The sequence below is a fragment of the Homo sapiens genome, chromosome 8 (genome assembly GCF_000001405.40).
Source record: "Homo sapiens chromosome 8, GRCh38.p14 Primary Assembly".
In the NCBI taxonomy this organism is placed as follows: domain Eukaryota; kingdom Metazoa; phylum Chordata; class Mammalia; order Primates; family Hominidae; genus Homo; species Homo sapiens.
Window position 1 is genome coordinate 67,110,652 of NC_000008.11, and position 27,369 is coordinate 67,138,020.

At 36.4% G+C, this 27,369-nt stretch overlaps 1 protein-coding gene across 36 annotated transcripts in view; it reads left to right on the forward strand.

The window, feature by feature from the left end:
- Positions 1-27,369, forward strand: part of CSPP1 (centrosome and spindle pole associated protein 1) — a 132,247-nt gene that overhangs the window by 46,284 nt on the left and 58,594 nt on the right. For 17 of the 36 annotated variants that reach the window (XM_005251305.5, XM_047422254.1, XM_006716474.4 and 14 more), the window contains 7 exons: positions 1,321-1,414; positions 3,154-3,211; positions 5,263-5,471; positions 7,597-7,718; positions 8,092-8,170; positions 21,300-21,429; positions 26,805-26,952. In XM_005251305.5, the coding sequence (XP_005251362.3) occupies positions 1,321-1,414; positions 3,154-3,211; positions 5,263-5,471; positions 7,597-7,718; positions 8,092-8,170; positions 21,300-21,429; positions 26,805-26,952 (840 nt within the window). Of the gene's footprint in view, positions 1-1,320; positions 1,415-3,153; positions 3,212-3,677; positions 3,720-5,262; positions 5,472-7,596; positions 7,719-8,091; positions 8,171-20,907; positions 21,206-21,299; positions 21,430-26,804; positions 26,953-27,369 lie in introns of those variants that run through there. The other 19 variants (XM_011517598.3, XM_047422253.1, XM_047422245.1 and 16 more) reach the window with 3 other exon arrangements.

Consider the following 27,369-nt stretch of genomic DNA (forward strand, 5'->3'; position numbering starts at 1 on the left):
CTTTATCTACTCAATTTAGCTCAGTTTCCTGGCCCTCTTTGGGTTCTCTTTACCTCTTTACCTGTATCTGTGGTCTGGAAATTTCATTTGGGCAGAAATTGGGTGATTATAGGGCTCACCTCAATTACAATTCTGCACTACCTATTGTCCAGTATCTGGAAAACAATTATTTTGTGTATTTTGCGCAGTTTTCTAATGTTTCTGTTGTTGTTGTTGTTGTTGTTGTTTATTTGTTTTTTAAACTGTGAGGTTAAGTCTTGTGCTTGGTTATTCTATCATGGTCAGAAGTGAAATGGGAATATTTACTTTTATTATAAAACACAGTTATTAACCTTAATGTAATTTATGTTACCTCTACGGGAGCTTCACTTTTGCTGACATCTATGCTTAATGGACAAACTGAGATGCTGTGTGCCCACTGATGGTTGGAGACCAATAATGAAGGCAGTACAGAAATTGCTGTTTCAATTGCATTCTTGATACCCTGTGATTTTTGTAGTGTTCCAGATCTTGCATATTTAGATTAAGAGGTTATTTTGTGGCATTAACATATGCAATAATAATAATCTTCTCTGCATTCAAAATTTTTGATTAACTGGATTTTTGTATAAGGAATACCAAGGTGAGAGGTTTGTATTTTTTCCTGTAGAATTGAGTTTTTTGAGCAGAGTGCCAGTTTGATTAGTGTATTTTATGACAGTTAATATTACATAGTGTACTGGATCTATTGGAGCAGGGAGAAGGGAGTTGGGAAGACTGGTAATTAGTTAGGAAGTTATTGCTGCAATCCAGGTTAGATGTAGAGAGGACTTATCCAAGGTTAATGGCTCTGAGAATAGAAAGGAGGGGGCCTCATATGAAGTGAATAGAAGAGGACAAGCAGTCCAAGTTATAGTGAGATTTTGAGGCTCCAGTATTGGGCCATTAGTAGAAAATGAAGAGGGGCAGTTGGTTTTGAGATGCTCGTTTGCGATTGAAATGTTAAATTTGTAAGACTTATGGAAGATATTAATGGAAATATTATTTAGATTGTTAGAAAAATGGGGTTGGGATAAGAACATTCTGTTATTTAGGAAAATTTTTGACTAATGGTAGAGGCATGGGCATGATTACTGTATCTTGTGTTTGACGCATAGTAGGTACCCATTAATTACAAAAGAAATTGAAGAAGGACTGATTCATGTGATTTTTTTCCTTCTGTATTTCTTGCATATTAGTAATTATATGATACAATTAAGATGGAGTTTTTAAGGACTTAACTTTCTAATTGCATACGATGCTTAAGAGTTAAGATTGTATTTTTCTCATACCACTATCTAGGAGGTGAAGATCGAGAACTTATTCAGAGAAGGAAAGAGAAATACAGACTAGAACTGTTGGAACAAATGGCTGAGCAACAGAGGAACAAGAGACGGTAATGAAAGGTTTGCATTTAAAAGAGATATTTTGAGTTTAAAGTGCATTTGTGTAAAATGACATGGTTAAATAAGGGGTTGTCGTTCTAATATGATGTTTGATTTGTAAATCACTTATATTTTCATCTCTACATGCTAAATCAACAAGGAAAATAAATACTAAGAGAGTTTTTTTTTTTTTTTTTTGGTCATAAGTAGCAAGTGAGAGTATTTATATATTCTGTAATAGCCCTTTTACTTCCCTCATTGATTTCTTCAGTTTTTGATTTAAGGTAGCATTTAATGTTATAGATATGCCCATTGGATTATCCCATATATAGTAACAAATATAAAAGTATTTTTTGCCATATGAAATGGTATGCACACACACATACATGCAAAAAAAATTGTATCCTATAAATTTAACATTTCCATCCCAAATGAGCATCTCAAAACCAACTGTCCCTCTTCATTTTCTATTAATAGCCCAATAATGGAGCCTCAAAATCTCACTATGACTTGGATTCCTTGTCCTCTCGTATTCACTTCATACGAGGCCCCCTCCTTCTTTCTATTCTCAGAGCCATTAATGTTGGATAAGTCCTCTCTACGTCTGACCTGGATTGCAGCAATAGCTTTCTAACTAATAACTAGTCTTCCCAACTCCCTTCTCCCTGCTCCAGTAGATCCAGCACACTGTGTAATATTAACTGTCAAAAAATACACTAATCAAACTGGCACCCTGCTCAAAAATCTTCAGTGGCTTCCTCAATTCTACAGGAATGGTAAATCACAAGTATTTATGTTGTACATAGGTATCATTGTTTGTAGTCTTTCTTGTTGAAATACCTATGAGATATTATAGTTTAAAATTAGGAATAGAGTTTAAAATTAGAAATTTTAAATATAGCTTAAAATTAGAAATTACAGTGGATCACGCCTGTAATCCCAGCACTTTCGGAGGCCGAGGTGGGTGGATCACAAGGTCAGGAGATCGAGACCATCCTGGCTAACACGGTGAAACCCCGTCTCTACTAAAAATACAAAAAATTAGCCGGGCGTGGTGGCACATGCTTGTGGTCCCAGCTATTCGGGAGGCTGAGGCAGGAGAATTGCTTGAACCTGGGAGGCGGAGTTTGCAGTGAGCTGAGATAACGCCAGTGCATTCCAGCCTGGGCGACAGGGTGAGACTCTTGACTAAACAACAACAAAAACAACAACAACAAAATTAGGAATAGAGATCTCGTTTTGAGAGAATTTGAGACCTGTTATCTCTTAGTTTTTGCCTTTTTTCCCTCTATCTCAGAGGAAGCCAATATCTACTGTTTGATGTTAGCTATCTTTAACATCATTTTTAAAAAAACCCTATTATTAGGAAGTATGGTAGATATATTTAAATTTTTACCCTTCTTTTTGCTAACTGAAAATATATGTGTACCCTAAAAGAGGTTTTTTTGTTTTACAAGGTAAATATTTTATTTTTGTGTTTTATTTTGTGTGAATTAGTCTTTGAAATACTCTAGGCATTGGCTTAGAGATACATAGTCCAAGTTAGTTACATGTGAATTCTAGTTTACTTTGTATCAAGTAAAAAAATTTGGCTTTCAGTATTATTTAAGGCTGTAATGTCAGTTAAAGGAATTATTTGTTTTTGTAGATGTAGTGCATAGACTTTGTGTATAAGCTTCTTTCAGTGATGATTTATAATTTTGATAGTTTACTATATCTTTTTAATATGTAAAACTTTAATTTTGTTTAGAGAAAAAGATTTAGAACTCAGGGTTGCAGCGTCTGGAGCACAAGACCCTGAGAAATCGGTAAGGGTTTCTGGCATCTTTTAATGTTTAATCTTTCATCAAATGATCCTCAAATGTGGTGGCAGGTGGGGATAGAGAATATTGGGAGAAAAAGAGAGTAGACCAATTTGAACAGTAATAAAATTAACTAAATTCAGTTCTCATAAAGTGTAAATTCTCTTAACTGTTATTTCCTTGAGGTAATTTTTCCTTTTTCATTTGTGTGTCATTTTTTTAAAGTTTAAATTAGTTCTCTCTGCTTTATTCACATGTACTATTCCATGGGAAAGTTATCTGGGTTAAATTTACAATTGATGTTAATATTTTTCTTGAATACATCTTGATCACTTACTTTTCTTACATTGGAGTGATTTCTGAGAAAACTGACGACTTTATTTTTAAAGCGTTTTAGTAATTGTTACTTATTGTAACATTAGAGAGATAATAATCTTATTTTTACTTTAATTTTGCAATTCTCATCATTAAGTGGAATGAATTACTCACATCATTGCAGTTAAGTAAGGAGGAGGTAATTTATTGTTTTTACCACAATTTATTTTTTCTGTAGTTGGTTATGTAATATTTATTTCTAATACAAGTCTTGTTTCATCTTTGAATGATGATTAAGACCTTTAATTTCATTAAAAAGCTCATTCTTAAAAAGGATGCAGCAACTTAAAATTATTTACCTGTAGGCAACTTTTGATTTGCTTTTACTTATGCTGAGAATATATCCTGTGGGTTATCTATTTGGAAAAGTTTCATATTGCACCAGCATCACTCGCAGTATGCTTCTGGGTTAACCTGATAAATCATTCCTGATAAGATAACCATGGTAGGAAAAAAAGAAGATAAATTTCAAAGCTAAATATATTTTCCTTTATGAATCAAAAGTTTCCTTTTAAGAGGTGAGCTTTTTAATGTAATATGTTGGCATGTTAAATTTTGTATTTATGGTTACACTAGTGTGTGACAGACCTTATTTATCTTTGAATTGAAGCTCCTATACAGTGTCAAGTTGATTTATGAGAATAAATAAGTAATTGGAGGCAACAGTTACGCCTTTACTTTTGGGTTTACTTTTGATGTGCAAATCTTAGAAAAGGGCACATAAGTGATGTTCTAAAGTAGAGATTAGCAAAGTGTGGCCTGTGACCAAATTTGTTTGCTACCTGTTTTCATAAAAAAAAGTTTTATTGCAGCACAGCCTTGTTCATTCCTTGACATACTGTTTGTGGCTGCTTTAGCACCATAGCTGAGTCTGCTCATTATGAAGAGACTATGTAGTCTTGCAAATCTTAATCTATTTACTGTCTAGCCCTTTACAGAAAGCATTTGCTGACCCTGTTTTACAGAATACTATAACAGAAATGGCAATTAGAGAAGTAGCACGGTGTCCTAGTACATAAAAAGAATACTACAGGTATATTTAAAATTAATATCTGACTCTAGTCTTTGCTTAATTATTTACTAATAGTGAGACCTTAGGTGATATATTACTTCTCAGAGAGCCTCAATTACCCATTTATAAAATAAGCATTAGATATTCAGAGTCTGGCTGGGCACAGAAGCTCACACCTGTAATTCCAGCACTCTGGGAGGCCGAGGTGGTCGGATCACTTGAGGCCAGGAGTTCAAGACCAGCCTTGCCAACGTGGCGAAACCCCCTTCTCTACAAAAATTAGCTGTGCGTGGTGGCAGGTGCCTGTAACCCCAGCTACTCTGAGGCTGAGGCAGGAGAATTGCTTGAATTCGGGAAGTGGAAGTTGTTGTGACCTGAGATCATGCCACTGCATTCCAGCCTGGGCGACACAGTGAGACTCTGCCTCAAAAATAAATAAATAAATAAATAAGATAGATAGATAGATATTCAGAGTCTTTTATAGCTGTAAAATTCTGTTATTCAGTAAATAAATAAATAAAAATAGATATTCAGAGTCTTTTATAGCTGTAAAATTCTGTTATTCTGTGACTGTCTTAAGTGCCTGCTGGGATAGGAGGTCTTTTGAGGTCCCTTCCACCTTTAAACTTATGATTATATGTAACAAACAGATTTTTTTTCTTTATTTTAGCCTGATAGACTAAAGCAGTTTAGTGTGGCACCAAGACACTTTGAAGAGATGATACCACCTGAAAGACCCAGAATAGCTTTCCAGACACCTCTCCCTCCTTTATCTGCCCCATCTGTCCCACCCATCCCATCAGTTCATCCTGTTCCTTCTCAAAATGAAGATTTGCGCAGTGGACTCAGCAGCGCCCTTGGTGAAATGGTGTCTCCCAGGTGCTTGTTTAAATGTTTTGTGTTTGGGAATTAGGTAAGGTATTGCTATATTTTATGTTTAGAAGGATATACTGAAGCGGATGACGTTATTCTTCAGAGATTTTGTACAGTTAACAGTTTTGTGAAATAAATTCTCTTGAAATTTGTTTTTTTCTCTGCTATTATAAAAAAAGGGAAATTCTTAAAACATTTTATTGTTTAAAGATGATTTTGTATCTTTAGAATGAATTACTAAGTACATTTTAGTATTTATTTAGTTTTGGGTTGTATTTTGGGATGTTTTTGATATCTTTTAACATATAAAAGTTGTACATTTTTTTCAATTTTGTTCTTTCCACTTGGCAAACATTGAATTCTTCAATTTGTGCAGAAAAAGTTTCTAATGTGGCTCTTTTACACATATAATTTTATTTTAGCTTCTGTTTCTTCAGCTCATTCTCTGTGATTACTTATGGGCTGTGTAACTCAAATACCTGAAATAAAAAGTGTTGAGATTATAAAACCTGTAATTTAAGTATTGGGGTAAAGATTTGATTTCTGTAGGTGAAAGGCATCACACTATAATAGAATATACATAAAGAAAATCCTGTTGTTAACACTGATATTTTCTGGGCTATACTTTCTTCTTTGTAGGGCCTGGGCTTATTTTTTGTTCACTGTTAGTGTATTAATTATAAAATATATTTAAATTTAGAGGTGTTTTTCTTAACTTTTTTGAACATTGATATTTTCTGGACTGTATTATTTCAGTAGAAGTTGGTCTTTTAGTTACTAACCAACTGTGGAAGTGTGTTTACTATACTTATCAGGGGCTTTGTGTTTTTTATCTGATGGCTTCCTGACTCAGGAATAGGAGGCATTGGAATTAACAGAGCATTTTATGGTGGTCTCAGCATTGAATTAGGGATTGAAATGGTTGGCTTTCCTATCTGGATTTTGGGCAAACCACACCTTTGTTGAACTTCAATTTTCTCATTTGTAAAAGTGGAGTAGTATTATATTTTTTTCATGTTTACAATTACAGGGTTGTGAGGATTAGCTTGTATAAATCTCTATGAAATTCGATTTAATGATGACAGCTCCCTTTCATAACAGTTATTTGACATTTTTGTTGATGTATTTTTGTTGTGAGGATGGTATAAGGTTTAGACACATTGAGTGGCTAGTAAATGTGAAAGATATTCCCTACTGAAGAGAACTTCCGTACCTTCTTAGTTCTTTGGAATTATTTTGAAGTATATGACAAGGGAGAACCTGTTAAGATACATACAACAGTGAGAACATTCTAGAATGCCGCCATCTCTTTCTATTCATTTAAAGGAATTTGCCTTTGCCATTTTTACTACTGAAAAATATTGCATTGGTAGCAATACAGAGATATTTCCTAATCAGTAATGAAGTGCTAATGTAGAGGTTTTTAGAAGTTTTAAATTTATGAAATACTTAAAGATTGTGTCAATACTTTACTGTTGGTATTTAAGTTGCTTTTATTTTACTATTAAGAAATACACTCGTTTCCTCAGTCAGACTGAACCATTTGTACTCACACTGTTTTGTAGCTCTTTGCCTTCTCTTTCTGGATTGTCCTTCCTCTAACACACACAAGCTCACTCCAGTAGCATGGCTTAAGCGTTGCCTCTTCTGGAAAGCCTTACATGTGCTTTCTTTCTCTCCCTCATGTGATTTAAATGTCCCTTCTCCTGTACCTATAGCAATCTGCATTTTTTGGGCTATATTGCTATTTAGTTTAATTTGCTTGTACTATTATTAATTATTTAATTTGCTTGTACTTGACTGTAGTTGTTTATTTTCATGTTACTCCTGAGGGACAGGGACCATGTTTGTCTTTATTTGATACTGGCACATAGTGCCTATTGGATATTAATTGATTGAATATTAACCCAGGTTTTTATCTTACATAAATGTACCTGAAATTGTGAAATCCTATGTAATAGTATTTGCTTTTTAAGTCATAATTTTTGGTGAATGATTGGAGCAAGATGGTGACATTTTCTAAAGTAGTGATAGGATTTTCAGTACTGTTTTTGCAAAAGAGTAACATCTTGATTTTTTAAAAAATTGCAATGAAATATGAGAGGAATTTTTCATCTTTCTTTTCATACAGGATTGCACCTCTGCCTCCACCTCCCCTACTACCACCTTTGGCTACTAACTATCGAACTCCTTATGATGATGCATACTATTTTTATGGGTCCAGGAATACTTTCGATCCCAGTCTTGCTTATTGTAAGTTATCTATAGGGTAAGCATTTTCTCCCCGCTTGGCTCAATAAGGAAAATTGTTTTTTTGTGTAAACAAAAAATATCTAAATGAGAAAAGCACAACTTTGCTTAATTCAGATGTTATATATTGATTTAATAAATGCCCTATTTTAAAGCCCAGTTATATTTTATAGTTATTTCCTTTTCATCTTGGTTTAAGAAATAACGATTGTGTTTTCTTATGTTGTTCTTTGCTAACTTCTAGCCCAGAAGGAAATATTGATGGTTTTCTCTATGTAACATTTTGATTATGCACCTTTTTCTGGAGGAATAAGTAAAATATTATTAAATGATTATTCTAAATAAACTTTTTTTGTTTTTTTGTTTTTTCTTTAAGATGGTTCAGGAATGATGGGCGTACAGCCTGCAGCTTATGTTAGTGCTCCTGTCACCCACCAACTAGCACAACCTGTTGTGTAAGTTATTAGTTAAAAGAATAATTTTTTCCCCACTTTTATTTTGTTAAGATACACATAACCTAAAAGCCACCATCCTAACATTTTAGAGTATACTATTTAGTGGTATTTAATATTTTCATAATGTGCAACCATCACCACAATCCATCTTCAGAACTCTTTTCATCTTGTAAACTGAAACTCTATACCCATTAAATAATAATGGTGTACCTCCTCATTCCCCTACCTCCGTTCTCTGGCAACCACCATTCTATGTCTCTGATTTTGACTACTCCATGTACCTCATATGAATAGAATCATACAATGTTTATCTTTTTGTGACTGGCTTATTTCACTTTGCATAATGTCCTCAAGGTTCATCCGTCTTTTAGCATATTTCAGAGTTTCTTTCCTTTTTAAGGCTGAATTATAATCCATTGTAATTGTATACAACATTTTACTTATCTAAAATCTATCCATTTATCCATTAGTGGACACTTTGGATTGCTTCCACATTTTGGCTATTTGTGAATAATGCTGCTGTGAACATGAGTTTACAAATATCTCTTTGAAATCTTGTTTTCAATTTTTTTGGGTCTGTACCCAGAGCTGGAATTGCTGGGTCATATGGTAATTCTATGTTTAATTTTTTGAAGAACTGCCATACTGTTGTCCACAACTGCTATACTTTTTAATATTCTCACCAGTAGGGCACAAGGGTTCCAATTTCTCCACGTCTTTGCCAATACTTATTTTCTTTTTCTTTTTTTTATAGTAACCATTCTAATGAGTGTAAGATGGTATTTCATTGTAGGTTTAATTTGCATTTCCCTAATTATTAGTGAGGTTGAGCATCTTTTCCTATGCTTCTTGGCCATTTGTATATCATCTTTGGAGAATTGTCTTTCCAAGTACTTTCCCATTTTTGAATTAGGTTGTTTGTTTTTTGTTGTTGAGTTTTCAGAGTCCTCCATATATCCTGGTTATTAATTCTGTATCAGGTATTTGATTTGAAAATATTTGCTCCCATTCTGTCTTGATATTGCCTTTTGATGCACAAAATTCTTAAATTTTCATAAAGTCCAATTTGTCTTTTTATTATTGTTGCCTGTGCCTTTGGTGTCATGTCTGAGAAATCATTGCCAAATCCAACATCCTGAAGCTTTTGCCCTATATTTTCTTGTGAGAGTTTTATAATTTTAGGTCTTATGTTGAGCTGTTTGAGTCATTTTGAGTTAATTTTTTTATGGTATTGCATAAGGGTTTGTCTTAGTTATTTTGTATGTGGATATTCAGTTTTCTTAGCACCATTTGTTGGAAAGACTATCCTTTCTGCATTGAGAGATATTGGCATTCTTGTTGAAAATCATTTGACCAAATATACGAGGGTTTATTTTTGGGCTATTTATCCTTTTCCCTTGGTGTGTATGTCTTCCTTTATCCCAGTACCTTAGTGTTTTGATTACTGTTGCTTTGAATGTTTTGAAATCAGAAAATGTGAGTGCTACAGCTTTGTTCTTTTTCAAAATTGTTTTGGCTATTTTGGATCCCTGGAGATTCCATATGAATTATGGGATGAGTTTTTCTATTTCTGCAAAAAAGTCATTGTGATTTTGGTAGTGAGTAGTGAGTGTATTGAATCTTTGGGTAGTTTTGACATTTTAACAGTGTCATGTCTTCTGATCCATGAACATAAGATATATGTCCATTTATTTATGTCTTTTAAAATTTCTTTCAGCAATATTTCATAGTTTTCATTGTATAGGTATAGGTCTTTCACTTCTTTAGTTAATTCTTAAGTATTTTATTCTTTTGGATGCTTTCATAAATGGAATTCCTTTCATAATTTTCTTTTCAAATTGTTCATTGTTAGTGTATAGAAATGCAGCTGATTTTTGGGTGTTGATTTGTATCCTGTTACTTTACTGAATTCATTTATTTTAATAATTTTGTTGTAGAATCTAGGATTTTCTGCAAATAAGATGATAACATCTGTGAACAGAGATAATTTTACTTTTTCTTTCTGATATGAATACTTTTTATTTATTTTTCTTTCTTTCTTTTTTTTTTTGAGACAGAGTCTCACCCTGTCACCCAGGCTGGAGTACAATGTTGTGAACTTGGCTCACTGCAACCTCCGCCTCCTGAGTTCAAGTGATTCTTCTGGCTCAGCCTCCTGAGAAACTGGGATTAAAGGCGTGCACCACTATGCCCGGCTAAGTTTTTGTATCTTTAGTAGAGACAGGGTTTCACCATGTTGGCCAGGCTGGTCTCGAACTCCTGACCTTGTGATCTGCCTGCCTCAGCCTCCCAAAGTCCTGGGATTACAGGTGTGAGCCACTGCGCCTGGCCCCTTATTTTTCTTTCTTAATTACTTTCTTAATTACCCTGACTAGAGCTTCCAGTACTATGTTTAATAGAAATGGCTAAAGCGGGCATCCCTGCCTTGTTCCTGATCTTAGAGGAAAAGCTTTCAGTCTTTCACTGTTGTGTATGATGTTTGCTGTAGGTTTTTCATATATATAGCTTTTATTATGTTGAGGTAATTTCATTCTATTCCTAGTTTGTTGAGTTTTAACGATGCAAGTGTTAAATTTTGTCAAATGCTTTTTCTGTATTGTGATGATCATGTTTTTTTCCCCTTTATTCTTTTAATGTGGTATATTGATTGATTTTTTTATGTTTAACCATAACCATCCTTGTTTTCCAGGAATAAATTCCACTTAGTCATGGTGTATAATCATTTTAATATGCTGCTGGATTTGGTTTGCTAGTATTTTGTTAAGGAGTTTTGCATCAGTGTTCATATGTGATCTTGTTGTAGTTTCCTTATACTGTCTAGCTTTGGTATAAGCATAATGTTGGGCTTATAGAAGGAATTAGGAAGTGTTCCCTCCTCTTGAACTTTTTGAAAAAGTTTGAGGATTTATATTAGTTCTTCTTTAAATGTTTGATAGAATTCACCAGTGAAACCATAAGGTACAGGGCTTTTCTTTGTTGGGTGATTATTGATTAGAGATTCAGTCTCTTTAGTAACTAGTTATATAGGTCTATTCAGATTTTCTTTTTCTTCATGATTTAGTCTTGATAGGTTTTTATTTCTAGGAATTTGTCCATCTCATCTAGGTTATCCGATTTGTTGGCATATAATTGTTGATAATATTCCCTTACAGTCCTTTCTTATTTTTAAAAGATTAATAGTGATGCCCCTTTGTGAATTTCTGATTATATTTTATTATTTATTTATTTATTTATTTTTCTGACCTCATTCTTCCCATCACAGAATTCCTGATTTTAATAGAAGATTCAGAGCCTTCTTGTTGGTCAGTGTAGCTAAGCATTTGTCAATCTTGTTGATCTTTTCAAATAACAAACTATTGGTTTGGTTGATTTTTTTTTTTTCTGTCGTTATTCTAGTTTCCATTTCATTGATTTCTGCTGTAATCTTTTAAATTTCCTCCCTTCTGCTTACTTTGGGTTCCGTTTGCTCTCATTTTTCTGGTTTCTAGAGATGAAAATCTAGATTATTGATTTGGTATCTTTCCCTTTGTTTGGTATGTATACTTACAACTATAAGCTTTCCTCTTAGTACTGTTTTAGCTACATCCCTTAAGTTTTGGTATGTTGTCTTTTCACTTTCATTGCTCTCAAAATATTTTCCAATTTTTAAAAATTTCTTCATCAACCTGTTGGTTATTTTGAAATGTGTTGTTTACTTTCCACATAATTGTGAATTTCCCAAATATCCTTCTGTTACTCATGTCTAATATAATTACATTGCAGTAGGAGAACAAACTTTGTATGATTTCAGTCAGTCCTTTTTAATTTATTGAGGCTTATTTTAAGACCTAACATGGTCTGTCCTAGAGAATGTTCCACATGCATTTGAGAAGAATGTGTATTGTCCTGTTGGTGAGTGTATTATTCTATAAGTGTCTCTTAGATCTAGTTGGCTTATAGTGTTATTTCTTTTATTTCCTTGATCTTCTGTGTAGTTGTTCTATTATTAGAAGTGAAGTATTTAATCTCCAACTGTTACTTTGTGTGTGTGTGTTCTGATATACAGTCTTGCTCTGTGTGTGTGTGTGTGTGTGTTTGTGTGTGTGTGTGTTCTGATATACAGTCTTGCTCTGTCACCCAAGCTGGAATACAGTTGTGAGACCATAGTTTGCTGTAGCCTCAACCTCCTGGGCTCAAGCAATCCTCCTACCCCAGCCTCCTGAGCAGCTAGGACTACAGCCGTGTGCCACTGCACCTGACTGATTTGTTTATTTTTTGTGGAAACAGGGTCTCCCTGTGTTGCCCAGTGTGATCTTGAACTCCTGGCCTCAAGCGATCCTCTTGCCTCAGCCTCCCAAAGTACGAGGAATATAGCCATGAGCCACCACACCCGGACTCCAACTATTATTCTTGACTTGTGTATTATTCTCTTCAATTCTGTCAGTTTTTGTTTCGTTTCTTAGGTCTCTCTTTATATGCATATGTTTATAATTGTGTCTTACTGAAGATTTGACCCTTTTATTAGTGTCAGAGATTCTTCTGTGTCTCTGCTAACAATTTTTGTCATAAAGTGCTTTTAGTTCTAATATAAATGTTGCTGTTCTGGTTCTCTTTTAGTACTGTTTGCATGGTGTATGATTTTTCGTATTTACTCTCAATTTATTTGTCTTTGAATCTAAAAGATGTCTCTATGTAGACAGAATGCAGTTACTTCCTGGTTTTTATGTTTGCCATTTTGCAATTTTTTTCTATATGTCTTATGTCTTTTTATTCCTCTAATCCTCCTTTATTACCTTCTTTTTCTTCTTCGTTTTTTTTTTTTTTTAAGAGATAGGGTCTCATTCTCTTTCCCAAGCTGGAGTGCAGTGGTGTGATCACAGAGCTCACTGCAGCCTCAAACTCCTGGGCTCAAGCAATCCTTCCACTCCAATCTCTCAAGGAGCTGGAACTACAGGCACATGCCACCACGCCTGGCTAAATATTTGTATTTTTTGTAGAGATAGGGTTTTGCCATGTTTCCCAGGCTGGTCTCAAACTTCTGGCTCAAGTGATCCCAGCCCCACAAAGTGCTGGGATTACGGGCATGAGCCACCGCGGCCAGGCTCTTTTTTTTTTTTTTAAGACGCAGTCTCGCTGTTGCCCAGGCTGGAGTGCAGTGGTGCGATCTCGGCTCATTGCAAGCCCCACCTTCTGGGTTCATGTCATTCTCCTGCCTCAGCCTCCCGAGTAGCTGGGACTACAGGCGCCCGCCACCACGCCTGGCTAATTTTTTGTATTTTTAGTAGAGACGGGGTTTCACCGCGTTAGCCAGGATGGTCTCGATCTCCTGACCTCATGATCCACCCGCCTTGGCCTCCCAAAGTGCTGGGATTACAGGCATGAGCCACCGCACCCGGCCTATTAGTTTCTTTTATGTTAAATATTTAATAGCATTCAATTTTGATTTTTTTGTTGCCTTTTGCATAATTTTGAGTTTTTTTGTGGTTTCCCTACAGATTAAAATTGATATCTTAATTTAAAATAAATGAGTTTAGATTAAGGGCAACTTAATTTCAATGGTACACAAACCTTTTCTCTAATATAAGGTCATTCCTTTTCCTCTACTTGATGCTATTATTGTCATACAAATCACACTATTATACATTTAAGTCTCTCAACACAGTTTTATAATTATTGCCTTATGCAATTGTCTTTTATTTATTTATAAATTTATTTTTTGAGATAGGGTCTTACTCTGTTGCACAGGTTGGAGTGCAGTGGCATGATCATGGCTCACTGCAAGCTTGAACTCCTGGGCTCAAACAGTCTTCCCGCCTTAGCCTCCTGAGTAGCTGGGACTACAGGTGCATACCACCAATGCTCAGCTAATTAAAAAAATTTTTTGTTTTGTTTTGTTTTGGAGATAGGATCTCACTCTGTCACCCAGGCTGGAGTGCAGTGGTATGATCATAGCTCACTGCAGTGTCAAACTCCTGGATTTAAGGGATCCTCCCACCTCAGGCTCCCAAGTAGCTACTACTCCCACTACGCCTAGCTAATTTTTTATTTTTTTAATTTTTTGTAGAGACAGGCGTCTCTCTGTGTATCCCAGGCTGCTCATGAACTCCTGGCCTCAAACCACCTTGGTCTCCCAAAGTGCTGGGATTATAGATGTGAGCCATTGTGCCCATCCATAGTTGTCTTTTAAGTCAAATAGAGAAGAATAAAGTTACAAACGTCTTTACATTTGTAATATCTTTTATATTTGCCCATGTAATTATCTTTACTGGCGTTCTTTATTTGTTTGTGCTTACTTCAGTTGCTGTCAAGTGTTCTTTCATTTCAAGCTGAAGGACTCCCTTCAGTGTTTCTTACAGAACAGGTCTCTTAGTGATGACTTCTCTGAATTGTATTTAATAATGTCTTAATTTAGCTTTCATTTTTGAAGGATAATTTTGATGGTATGGAATAGTATTGGTTGGCATTCTTTATCTTTTAACACAATATGGTATCCCCTAGCCTTTATGGTTTCTGATAAGCTGTTAATCTTACTGAGGATCCCTTGTATGTGATGAATGGTTATTCTCTTGCTTTCAGGATTTCTCTGTCTTTATCTTTCAGCTGTTTGGCTGTATAAGTGTGGATCCCTTTGAGTTTTTCTTACTTGGAGTTTGATGCGCTTATTGGATCTGTAGATTAATATTTTTCATCTAATTTGGGAAATTTTTGCCCATTATTTTTTCCAATATTCTTTGTGTCCCTTTCTCTGTGTCTTCTCTTCCTGAGACCCCCATTGGTACACATTATGGTGTTTCACAGGATCTCTGAAGCTTCGTTCATTTTTCTTCAGTCTTTTTCTTTCTGTTCTAGACTGGGTAATCTCAATTGACCTGTCTTCAAGTTCATTGATTGTTTCTTCTGCCTGCTCGAATGTGCTCTTGGCTCCCTTTTCTTTTCAGTTATATTTTTCAGCTCTATCATTTTTATTTGGTTCTTTTTAAAGTAATTTCTATCTCTTTGTTGTTAATTTTATTTGGTAAACATTGTTTTCACAATTTAATTCTTTTTTTGAGATGGAGTTTCACTCTTGTTGCCCAGGCTGGAGTGCAGTGGCCTGATCTCAGCTCACTACAACCTCTGCCTCCCAGGTTCAAGCGATTGTCCTGCCTCAGCCTCCTGAGTAGCTGGGATTACAGGCATGCGCCACCACGCTTGGTTAATTGTGTATTTTTGCTAGAGACGGGGTTTTGCTATGTTGCTCAGGCTGGTCTCCAACTCCTGACCTCAGGTGATCTGCCCGCCTCGGCCTCTCAAAGTGCTGGGATTACAGGCGTGAGCCACTGTGCCCAGCCACTTTATTTCTTTAGATACATATTTTTTAGTTCTTTCAACATATTTCTGATAACTGAATAAAAATCTTTGTTGATTAAATACAAGGCATGGGATTCCTCTGAAATTTTCTGTTGACTTCTTTTTTCCCCGTATGTATGGCTTATAATTCTCTATTTCTTTGCAAGTGTCATAATTTCTTTTTTGAAAACTGAACATTTAGGAAACATAATGTGGCTACTGTGGAAATTAGATTCTCCTCCTCCTTGTGGTTTGTTGTTGTTGCTGTTTTCTAAGTACCCTTTGTAAAGTCTGTATTCTTTGTCATATGTGGCCACTGAAGTCTCTGTTAGGATAGCTTAATAGTTCATGATTAGACTGAGATTTCTTTAAAAGCTTTGACCCAATAAACCTCCCAGCCTATGCCAACTGGTTCTGTGTGTGTGTGCTGGGGCATGCGTTCAGTACCCTGGCAATTTACATCTTTGTTTTAGCTTTCACATCCCACTTGCACAGGGTCTCAATGCCAGCCAGAAATGAGAGGTGTTCTCAGAGCTTCCTCGGGCATCCATATAATTGCACATACATGTGGCTTTCTAAATTCTCAGGAATATGTTGGAGCTTTTCAAGACCCCATGGGCATGTTATTTCCCAGATTTTTCTTTTAATTTTATTGTCAGTCTTTTGCTTGCCCTGGCTGGTATCACTGTTTTAGATAGCTATGATGTTAAGTAATTACTGCTGATTGTTTTCTACAAAACCCCAGGATAGTGAGTTCTGAGTCTGGTAAAATATAGGCTCTGTGAATGGGGCTTTTCCTGGGAGCTGCCAGACAGGTCAAAAGTGAGATTTTTCTAGAGATTGGATTTTTGGGGAATTCCAGACCTATTCTACCTGTCCAGTGGATACTAGATTACTGGTTTTCACAGCAACTGTCTTTGGGCAGCGTTTGGATTTTAAGTTTATGATAGAGCTAAGGAGAAACTGAAAGGTCAAGGGCAAGTTCAAATGCCACAAAGTTTACTTCTCTTACTGAAAATCAACCTTAACAAAAAAACAAAAACTCTCCTGGGATTGTTCCAAGCCTTCCATGAATTTCCAAATTACTTAGCTCAAGCTGCTATAACAAAATATTATAGACTGGGTGGCTTAAACAACAGACATTTTTTCTTGGTTTTGGAGACATAGAAGTCCAGGATAAAGGTGTCAGCAGATTTGGTTCCTAGTGAGGGCCCTTTTCCTGGCTTTGTCATTGTATCCTCACATGGTAGAGAGAGCAAGGTCTCTGGTCTTTCCCCCACTCCATTTCACGCCTCCCCATTTTTTCTTAAGTACATTTAATCTCATCACGAGGACTGTACCCTCCTGATCTCATCTAAACCTAATTACCTCTCATAGTCCCCAGCTCCAAATACCATCAGAATAGTACGCAGGGCTTTGATGTAAGAACACAATTCAGTACATGGCACCAGAATTATTAAAAAGTTGGTTTTGACAATTTTGACTCGTGTTCTCATTGCTTTAACGGAGTAGCAGGTTTTCTTAAAGTTCTTATTCTGCCATTCTAGAAGTGCTTTCTATAAATCAGCTTTAGAACATTTTCATCCCTCCAATAAGATCCTTCATGCCCATTTATAGTTAATCCTAATTCCCATCCTCAGTATAGTTGTTTTTAAGTTCTTCTCTGTTAAATTTTTCTGAAGGCCACATTAAAAAGTGTAAACTTGTTATAAAAGTTAGATAACTGAGTGACCAGCTGAATTATCTTACAAACCAATGACTTTCAAATATTTGTTTGTTTCCAAGCATTTTAGCATGAGAGGTGGAAGGAACCTGTGACTCTGTTAACTATTTTGATGTACGCACAATCTGTCTTCTTTCCATTGACTTTATTAATTTAGCATGCTTTAATCTTTGTATCATTTGAGAGGATGGTAAAGATTTTGATTAGCTTTAGTCTTTCATAAGGATGGGTGTGTTATTATATTTCTAGGGTAACCACTAAAAGTATAGTAACAAAAGGTACCACTTACTACAGTAATAGAGGAAAAAATTCAAAAAAGAACAACCAAAATAGAATTGGGAAATTGTTTTATTAACTGTCTGATCTTTTTCAGCTTTGGTGATGGAATAAGTTAAGAATTTGTTGGCCGGGTGCAGTGGCTCACTCTTGTAATCCCAGCACTTTGGGAGGCCGAGGCGGGTGAATCACCTGAGGTCAGGAGTTCAAGATCAGCCTGGTCAACATGGTGAAACCCCATCTCTACTAAAAATACAAAAATTAGCTGGGCGTGGTGGCACATGCCTGTAGTTCTAGCTACTCGGGAGGCTGAGACAGGAGAATCACTTGAACCTGAAAGGCAGAGGTTGCAGTGAGCCAAGATCACGCCACTGAACTCCAGCTTGGGCGACTAGAGTGAGACTCCATCTCAAAAAAAAAAAAAAAAGCTTCTTGGCCGGGTTCAGTCTTAAACAGGCTAATACAGAGTGTGGAATGAAGGAATACTCTCCGGTTACTATTATGAGACTTTCATAATCTTGATACTTAAACCTAATAAGACCAGTATGAAATGGAAAATTACAAGCTAGTTACACTCATTAGCACAGACACAAGGATCCTAAAACTGAACCTCAAAGTATAGAGAAAGGATTATTGATCTGGAATTAGAATTACTCTCGAATATAGGATGATTAAATTTAGTAGAGTATATCAGTTAAGAGCATGGACTTTGTAGCCTGATTGCCTTGGTTTGAATCCTGCTTTTACCATTCATTAGCTTGAGGTGTATTTCTTACTTCTATTCCTTGTCCGTTAATTGGGGTAATAATGGTATCACCTCACAGGGTTTTTCTGATGATTGAATGGTTAAAATATGTAAAGTGTTTAGGATAGTGTCTGAATACTGGAGCCTATTGGTGTTAGATATAATCAATATGATTATAAAATAAACTACTGTAATCTACCATGTTAACAGAATAAAGAAGAAAGCTATATGATATCCCAATAGACAAAGGAAAAGCATTAAAATAATTGCATTAGTGATTAAAAATGTAATAAAATAGGTTAGAAGGGAGCCTATAAACATGAAAAACTTACATCATGTATTTTATTTAATGATGATAGATTTAAAATATTCCTTTTGAGATTCTATCATTGCTTCCTTTCACAGGGCTTAATTTCAGCAAGGCCAAAAATAAGAGAAAGAAAGGAAGGAAGGTACAAGGATTAGAAAGGAAGAGAGAAAACTGATGTTATTTGCAAAATAATATATGGTTAAAATATTGGAATTAATATGAAAGTTTTCACAGAATTACTGATTACAAAATCAATATACAAAAAGCAGTTGCAGGAAATGGCAGTTCCTTAAAAAGAATATGATACTGCAATTCCATTCCTAAGCATGTAATCAAAAGAAATAAAAATAACATGTAGATGCAAAGACTTGGATGTGAATGTTTATAGCTGCATTATTGATAATAGTCAAAAAGTGGAAACAATTCAAGTGTCCATCAGTGAGTGAATGGATAAACAAAATGTGTTATATTCATGCGATGAAGTACTACTCAGCAATAAAAAGTAATGAACTACTGATATGATATAATATGGATGAACCTTATAAATGTTATGCTAAATGAATCTATACATACTATATTGGTCCCATTTATATAAAATGTCCAGGAAGTACAAATCTATAGAGACAGCAGGCTACTTACTTAATAATTACCTGGGGCTGAGGGTTGAGTAGGGATTGATTGCATATGGCTATGAAGGATATTTTTGGGTTATAAAAATGTTCTAAAACTGGTTATGGTGATGATCGCACAACTCTATAAATTTACTAAAGATCATTTAATTGTATACAGTTGACACTCGATAACACAGGTTTAAACTGTATGAGTCCACCTACATGTGGATTTTTTTCAGCCAACTTCAATAGAAAGTACAATATTTGTGGGATGTGAAACCCATGTATGTGGAGGGCCTACTTTTCTTATGTGGGAGTTCCATGGGGCTCACTTTGGGACTTGAGTATACTCTGATTTTGGTATAGGCAGAGAGTCCTGGAAACAATCCCTCAGATATACCACGGGATGACTATACTTAATACCCCAATTATTTCCTCCCTTTCATCCTGATCTGACTACATAAATCCTTAAACCCCCTTTTTGGGGGAGTCAGGGAGGAGTTGATAGGTAAAGGTTAAGAATTTGGGTCTGTGAGTATGTGGGCAATATAGACGGGAGGGATCATGAGTGAAATAGATATTGAGAGAACCTGTCCACCATATGATTTATAAACAGTGTATTTTGAGAGAATGAGTTTATTCACATAGACCCTCTCAACCTTCTTTATTCATTTACACAAAGAGCCCCCTTGCTCTGAAAAAATACAGTCAGTTAGGAACTATTTGATCTAGTTTACCTCATCTTCCCTTTTAGCCACTCATAATCCAATGTGACAGTATACACAAACATACTTGTTTATCCTAATAAAAGATTGTAAATAAGTTAGAAAAGGTAAATACACAATGGAACTCATTTTTTAAAGCAGTGATATTTTTGGAGAAGAGAAAGCTTTTTTAAAATTATAAAATCAGGCTGGGCGCAGTGGCTCATGCTTATAATCCCAGCACTTTGGGAGGCCGAGGTGGGTGGATCACTTGAGGCCAGGAGTTAGAGACCAGCCTGGCCAACATGGTGAAACCCTGTCTCTACTAAAAATACGAAAATTAGCCGGGCGTGGTGGCGGGTGCTTGTAGTACCAGTTACTCGGGAGGCTGAGGCAGGAGAATCGCTTAAACCCGGGAGGCGGATGTTGCAGTGAGCGGAGATGGCACCATCGCACTTCAGCCTGGGCGACAAGAGTGAAACTCCGTCTCAAAACAAAAGAAAACAAAAAATTATAAAATCAGTATTTGAATTTATCTTTTATAATTTAGATTTCTAAAATGTTTTACTGTCTTCAAAGTCAGTATATTCCTGTACTTAAACATGTGTTATGTTGGCTGGGTGCAGTGACTCACGCCTGTAATCCCAGCACTTTGGGAGGCTAAGGCAGGAAGATCACTTGAGCTTAGAAGTTCAAGACCAGCCTGGGCAACGTAGAAAGACTTCGTCTCTAAAAAAAGTGAGCCATGCATGGTGATGTGCACCTATACCCCCAGCTATTTGAAAGGCTGAGGTGGAAGGATCGCTTGATTCCAGGAGATCAAGGCTGCAGTCAGCTATGATGGCGCCACTGCACTCCAGCCTGGGTGACGAAGTAGGACCCTGTCCCAAAAAAAACCAAAAAAACAGCACTTTATTGCTTGTGATTTATGTAACAACAATATGTTTAACATTTTTTCTTTTATGTTTCCTTGTGAATTTTTCAAAAATATTAATTTTATTTGAGACAGTCAGACTTTTTCCTGTAATTACATTGTTTTATTCTTGAAATAGCTAAGAAGTAATTTTATTAGTAAATCATTTAAAAATAAATCATTAGTTATTGTGTTACTTGAGGGACTTTGGCTGTGTTATTATTTCTGTTTGTTCAGGAAGCCGCCTAAGTCATATGTGTACTGTTCAATGAATTACCACAAACTTTTTTCACTCCTGTGTAACTATCACCTAGCTTAAGAAATAGATACAGTGAATTTGAAAGTTGCAAGGATTGTCAAAGCAAAGGCAGGAAGGAGCTAAGGAAGGGGTCACTTAAGGATTCCTCTTTGGCCTATAGAGAAATATCCTTCTGTATTTTTAAATGTATTTATATGCCATGCTATTTCAAAAAACTGTTGTATTTTCTTCTTGCTTTGTCGTCAATGGATTTAAATTATTTATTGTGTATTTGATGTAGGAATACGGTTGGACAGAATGAACTGAAGATTACAAGTGATCAAGTGATAAATTCAGGATTGATTTTTGAAGATAAACCGAAACCTTCCAAACAGTCACTTCAGTCTTACCAAGAGGCTTTGCAGCAGCAGGTATTGATTCATTTACTCATTTACTGTTGAACCTCTTAAGTGTAAGCATGGTGGTCCCTTAGAGCTCAGAGTGTGGCCGGGGAGGGGAAAAAAAACAGTTAATTATAATTCAAAATGCTGAGTTTTGAAGTGGATACAGTAAAACGCTGTTGGAAGCATAAGATAGGGAAAATAATTGCCTGGGGCAGTTGGGAGAGCTTCACACAGTAGTTGATATTTAAGCTGCATGTTGTGCAATGACTACGTTACAAGTTGCTGGTGTATACAGAGAATGGAATTGGGGTGGAAGAAGGGGCTGGAGAGTTAGTTAGGTTGTTCTAGCAGATTGTGAAGGACTAGCTAATAAGGGGTTTTCAGTTTCATCTGGTTATGGGCAGCTGAAGGAAGGAAATTTTAGGCCAAGAAAAGTATGAAAGGATTGTTTGCTTTAAGCAGATTTATATTTTATGAAGATAATTGGTTGTGATTTGGACAATTGGGAAGAGATTGGCAGAGAAATTATTTAGTAGATAGTCCAGTAAGGAGGTGATGAGGCCCTGAACCAGATGGGGACGTTGGGGAAGACATCTAAGAGACAATTCTCAGGTTTCATTGACAGGACTCAGATATAGGGAATGAGAACAGAGGGTTTGAAGATGATTCCTAGGAGAATAATGAGGCTATAAACCAAAATGGGGAATACAGGTAGTAGTTCATGTTTACAGAGGAGGATAATGGGTTCTTTCGTAGTTTGTAATATTTGCAGAGAATTTAAGAGTAACTATCAAATGTATGGGGTTCTTTGTGGGAATTCCCTTACCATCTGAGAGGACCCTGGGACTCTAACTTACTTACTTTTCTATAGAATTACACTTGGATTTCTTTTAAAAGTACTTTTGTTCAACTTTTACATGGGCAACTTTCTTGAAAGATAGATTTTTAAAATTACAGAATTACCAACCTTTTTTGTATGTTAGGATTCTACAAATAAAAGACTGAATTTTAAATTCAGAATCTGTTTTTGCATGAGCATATTAAAAACACCACTGACAAAACTAGATTTTTCAACTCTAGAGGTCTATTTGATGTGTGTGATGACTTCTTTGGCTATGCTGGAGCAAAAGGTTGCTTAAATTTACTGTGCATATGGTTATGAGTTTAAAAGTGACTTTCCAAAATGTAGACACTTGTTTATTGCCTATCTGTATGTCTCTACAGAACAACCCTGCGCTTATACTTAGTGATGATAAGAATGCATTTGTTTTTTGTGCTTAATACAGCTTTACAGAAGTATTGCAGGTTTAGTTCCAGACCACAGCAATAAAGCAAATATCACAATGAAATGATTCACATGAATTTTTTGGTTTCCCAGTGCATGCAGAGTTATCTTTACACTATACTGTGGTCTATTAAGGTGCAACATGTCTTAAACAAGCTACGTAAACTTAATTTAAAAATACTGTATTGCTAAAAAAATTTAGCAAATCATAATCCTTTTGCTGGTGGAAAGTCTTGCCTCAATGTTGATGGCTGCTGACTGATCAGGGTGGCAGTTGCTGAAGATTGGGTGGCTGTGGCAATTTCTTAAAATGAGACAACAGTGAAATTTGCTGCATCAATTGACTCCTCCATTCATGAGAGATTTCTCTGTAGGATACGATGCTGTTTGATACCATTTTATCCACAGTAGACCTTCTTTCAAAGTTTGGAGTCCTCTCAAAACCCTGCTGATGCTTTATCAACTTAGTTTATATAATGTTCTAAATCTTTGTTGTCATCTCAACAGTGTTCACAACATCTTTACCAAGAGTAGACTCCATCTCAAGAGACCACTTTCTTTGCTCATTCATAAGAAGCAACTCCTCATCCATTAAAATTTTATCATGAGATTGCAGCAGTTCTCTCAAGTCTTCCATGCCTCACTTCTAATTCCAGTTCTCTTGCTATTTCTTCCACATCTGCAGTTTCTTCTACCACTGAAGTCTTGAATCCCTCGAAGTCATCCATGAATCATCCATTAGGGTCAACTTCTTTCAAACTTCTGATACTGTTGATATTTTGACTTCCTTCCATGACTCACAAATGTTCTTGATGGCATCTGGAATGGTAAACTCTCTCCAGAGGGCTTTCAGTTTAGATTTCCCAGATCCATCAGAGGAATTACTCTCTGTGGCAACTATAGCTTTATGAAACGTATTTCCTGAACAGTAAGAATTCAGTGTCAAAATTACTCCATGAGTTAATGGGCTAAAGAATGGATATTGTATTAGCAAGCATGACAACAACATTAACCTTCTTGTATATCTAGCTCTTGGTTGACCAGGTGCGTTGTCAATGAGCAGTAATATTTTGAAAGGAATCTCTTTTTTTTAGTAGTAGGTCTCAACAGTGGACTTAAAATACTCAGTAAACCATTCTTGAAACAGTTGTGCAGCAATACAGGCTTTGTTGTTTCCTTTCTAGAGCACAGGTAGAGTAGATTTAGCATCATCTTTTTTTTTTTTTTTTTTTTTTTTTAAAGACGGAGTCTCACACTGTCACCCATGCTGGAGTGCAGTGGTGCGATCTTAGCTCACTGCAAGCTCCGCCTCCTGGGTTCATGCCATTCTCCTGCCTCAGCTTCCCGAATAGCTGGGACTATAGGCGCCTGCCACCATGCCCGGCTAATTTTTATTTTGTATTTTCAGTAGAGACGGGGTTTCACCATGTTAGCCAGGATGGTCTCGATCTCCTGACCTCGTGATCCACCTGCCTCGGCCTCCCAGAGTGCTGGGATTACAGTTGTGAGCCACCGTGCCCGGCTGATTTAGCATCATTCTTAAGGGCCCTAAGGTTTTCAGAATGGTATATTAGCATTGGCTTCAACTTAAAGTCACCAGCTGCATTAGCTTCTAATGAGAGAGTCAGCCTGTCCTTTGAAGCTTGAAACCAGACATTGACTTCTCTTTACTAGCTATGAAAGTCTTCTTTTAATACAAGGCTGTTTTGTCTCCATTGAATATCTGTTGTTTAGTGGAACCACCTTCATCAGTTATCTGATCTAGACTTTCTGGGTGACTTGTTGCAGCTTCTTCATCAGCATTTGCTGCCTCATGTTGTACTTTTTTATTTTTATTTTTATTTTGAGACAAAGTCGCACTCTGTTGCCCAGCCTAGGCTGGAGTACAGTGGCACGATCTCGGCTCACTGCAACCTCCACCTCAGCCTCCCGAGTAGCTGAGACTACAGGTGCCCACTACCACGCCCAGCTAATTTTTATTTTTTATTTTTTTTTGTATTTTTAGTAGAGGTGGGGTTTCACCATGTTGGTCAGGGTGGTCTTGAACTCCTGATCTCAAGTGATCCGCCCACCTTGGCCTCCCAAAGTTTTGGGATTACAGGTGTGAGCCCAGCCCATGTTGTACTTTTATGTTATAGAGATGGCAGCTTTCCCTCAACTTCATGAACCAACCTCTGCTAACTTGCAAGTTTTCTTCTGCAGCTTCCTCACTTCTCTCAGCCTTCATAGAATTGAAGAAAGTTAGGGCCTTGCTCTGGTTTAGGCTTTGGCTTAAGGGAATGCTGGGCTGGTTTGATCTTCTATTTAGACCACTAAAACTTTCTCTATAACAGCAATAAGGCTGTTTCACTTTCTTATCATTCATATGTTTACTGGAGTGGCACTTTTAATTTTCTTCAAGAATTTTTCCTGTGCATTTACAACTGGGCAAAGTGTTTATTTAACATAAGAGGCCTAGCTTTCAGCCTGTCTATGCATTTGACAAGCCTTTCCCACTAAGCATAGTCATTTCTAGCTTTTGATTTAAAGTGAGAGATGTGACTCTTTCATTCACTCAAACACTTACATGCCATTGTAGGGTTATTATTTGGCCTAATTTCAGTATTCTATCAGGGAAAAGAGAGACCCAAAGAGAGGGAAAGAGACAGGGGAACGGCTGATTGGTAGAATAGTCAGAATACATATGACATTTATCCATTAAATTTGCCATCTTATGTGTGTGTGATTCATGGCGCCCCAAAACAATTATAATAGTAACACTAAAGATCAGCAATCACAGATCACCATAACAGATATAATAATAATTTAAAAAGTTTGAAATATTGTGAGAATTACCAAAATGTGACACAGAGACATGAAATTAGCCCATGCCATTGGAAAAATGGTACTGATAGACTTCCTCAATGCAGAGTTGCCACAAACCTTCGATTTGTAAAAAATGCAATATCTGTGGCCAGGCGTGGTGGCTCACGCCTGTAATCCCAGCACTTTGGGAGGCCAAGGTGGGTGGATCAGAGGTCAGGAGATTGAGACCATCCTGGCTAATGCGGTGAAACCCCGTCTCTACTAAAAATACAAAAAATAACTGGGCGTGGTGGCAGGCTCCTGTAGTCCCAGCTACTCTGGAGGCTGGGGCAGGAGAATGGCGTGAACCCGGGAGGCGGAGCTTGCAGTGAGCTGAGATCACGCCACTGCACTCCAGCTTGGGTGACAGAGCGAGACTCCGTCTCAAAAAAAAAAAAAAAAAAAAAAAAAAATGCAATGTCCGCAAAGCACAATAAAATTCAGCACAATAAAATGAGGTATGCCTGTATTTAAAGTTGCCAAGCATTCCCCAGAGAGAGTTGATCCTCCGACCTCTGAATTCTGGGAATAGAGTTTGCCTAGGGAAAGTAGGTCTGGTAAGGTTGAGGGTAGACTTTGTGGCTGGGCATTCCCCTTGAAAGGATAGATGAAAAAGGAACGTAGGGAGATCTGATGGTCCCATGGAACTGGCAGGGTTAGAGAGGGAATGGCTCAGGTAGACACTAGGGGAGGGAAGGAGGAGTTGGTTGAGTCTGAAGTACCTTAGTGGCTAGAAAGTCATTTGGTGTATATAGAGGAACAGGGGCTATGTATTCTAGCCATTGAATTATTTTTATTTTTAATGTTATTATTTAAAGACAGTGTCTTGCATAATGTTGCCCAAGCTGAAGTACAGTGGCATGATCTTGGCTGACTACAAACTCCACCTCCTGGGTTCAAGTGATTCTTGTGCCTCAGACACCCAAGTAGCTGGGATTACACATGTGCGCAACCACACCCAGCTAATTTTTGTATTTTTAGTAGAGATGGGGTTTTGCATGTTGGCCAGGCTGGTCTTGAACTCTTGACCTTAAGTGATCTGCCCACCTTGGCCTCCATAGGCATGAGCCACGACACCTGACCTAAAGTATTTTTACATTGAGTATTACATATATTTGTGATTTTAACCTTTGTAGGGGGGTACACTGGGGAAAAAAAAAAAAGCAAATTTTTTTGCTTGTTTTCTAATACAAAAAATAACATCTGGTATTACTAACTTCTTGTATCAGAATACTTGTCAGCGTTTATTTTAAATATATCTTATGTTGTCAAGATTCGGGAAAGAGAAGAAAGAAGGAAGAAAGAACGTGAAGAAAAAGAAGAATATGAAGCTAAATTAGAAGCTGAAATGAGAACATATAATCCCTGGGGAAAAGGTGGAGGTGGTGCTCCTCTCAGGGATGCAAAAGGAAATCTGATAAGTACGTTATTTCTACTGACTTGTTTTTAAAATAAGCTAAATTATTTTTAACTTTTTAAAAGATTGGGGAGTAGAAAAAAGTAGGAATCATAGCCTCTATAGCAACGCATGTATGTAACTTAATGCATATGAGGTATTTTAAGAGTAAATATAATAACAGAGGCTAGAAAGCATTTCTTCTTCAGAATACTATCCATTTGTTTTTATTATAAATATTTCATCCTCCGATGTTGATAACCCAGTTGCAGAGAAAAGCTCATGTTAGTTGATAAGTTTTTACTGAAACTGGTACTTAGAATATTTTGTTCCCTCATAAAAATGATAAAACCCATATTACAATTTAAAAAAAATAAACTAGTAAGATGTCTTAGAAATAAAGGATGTAAAACAGTTTTGGGAGGGGATTTTGTGTTTAATT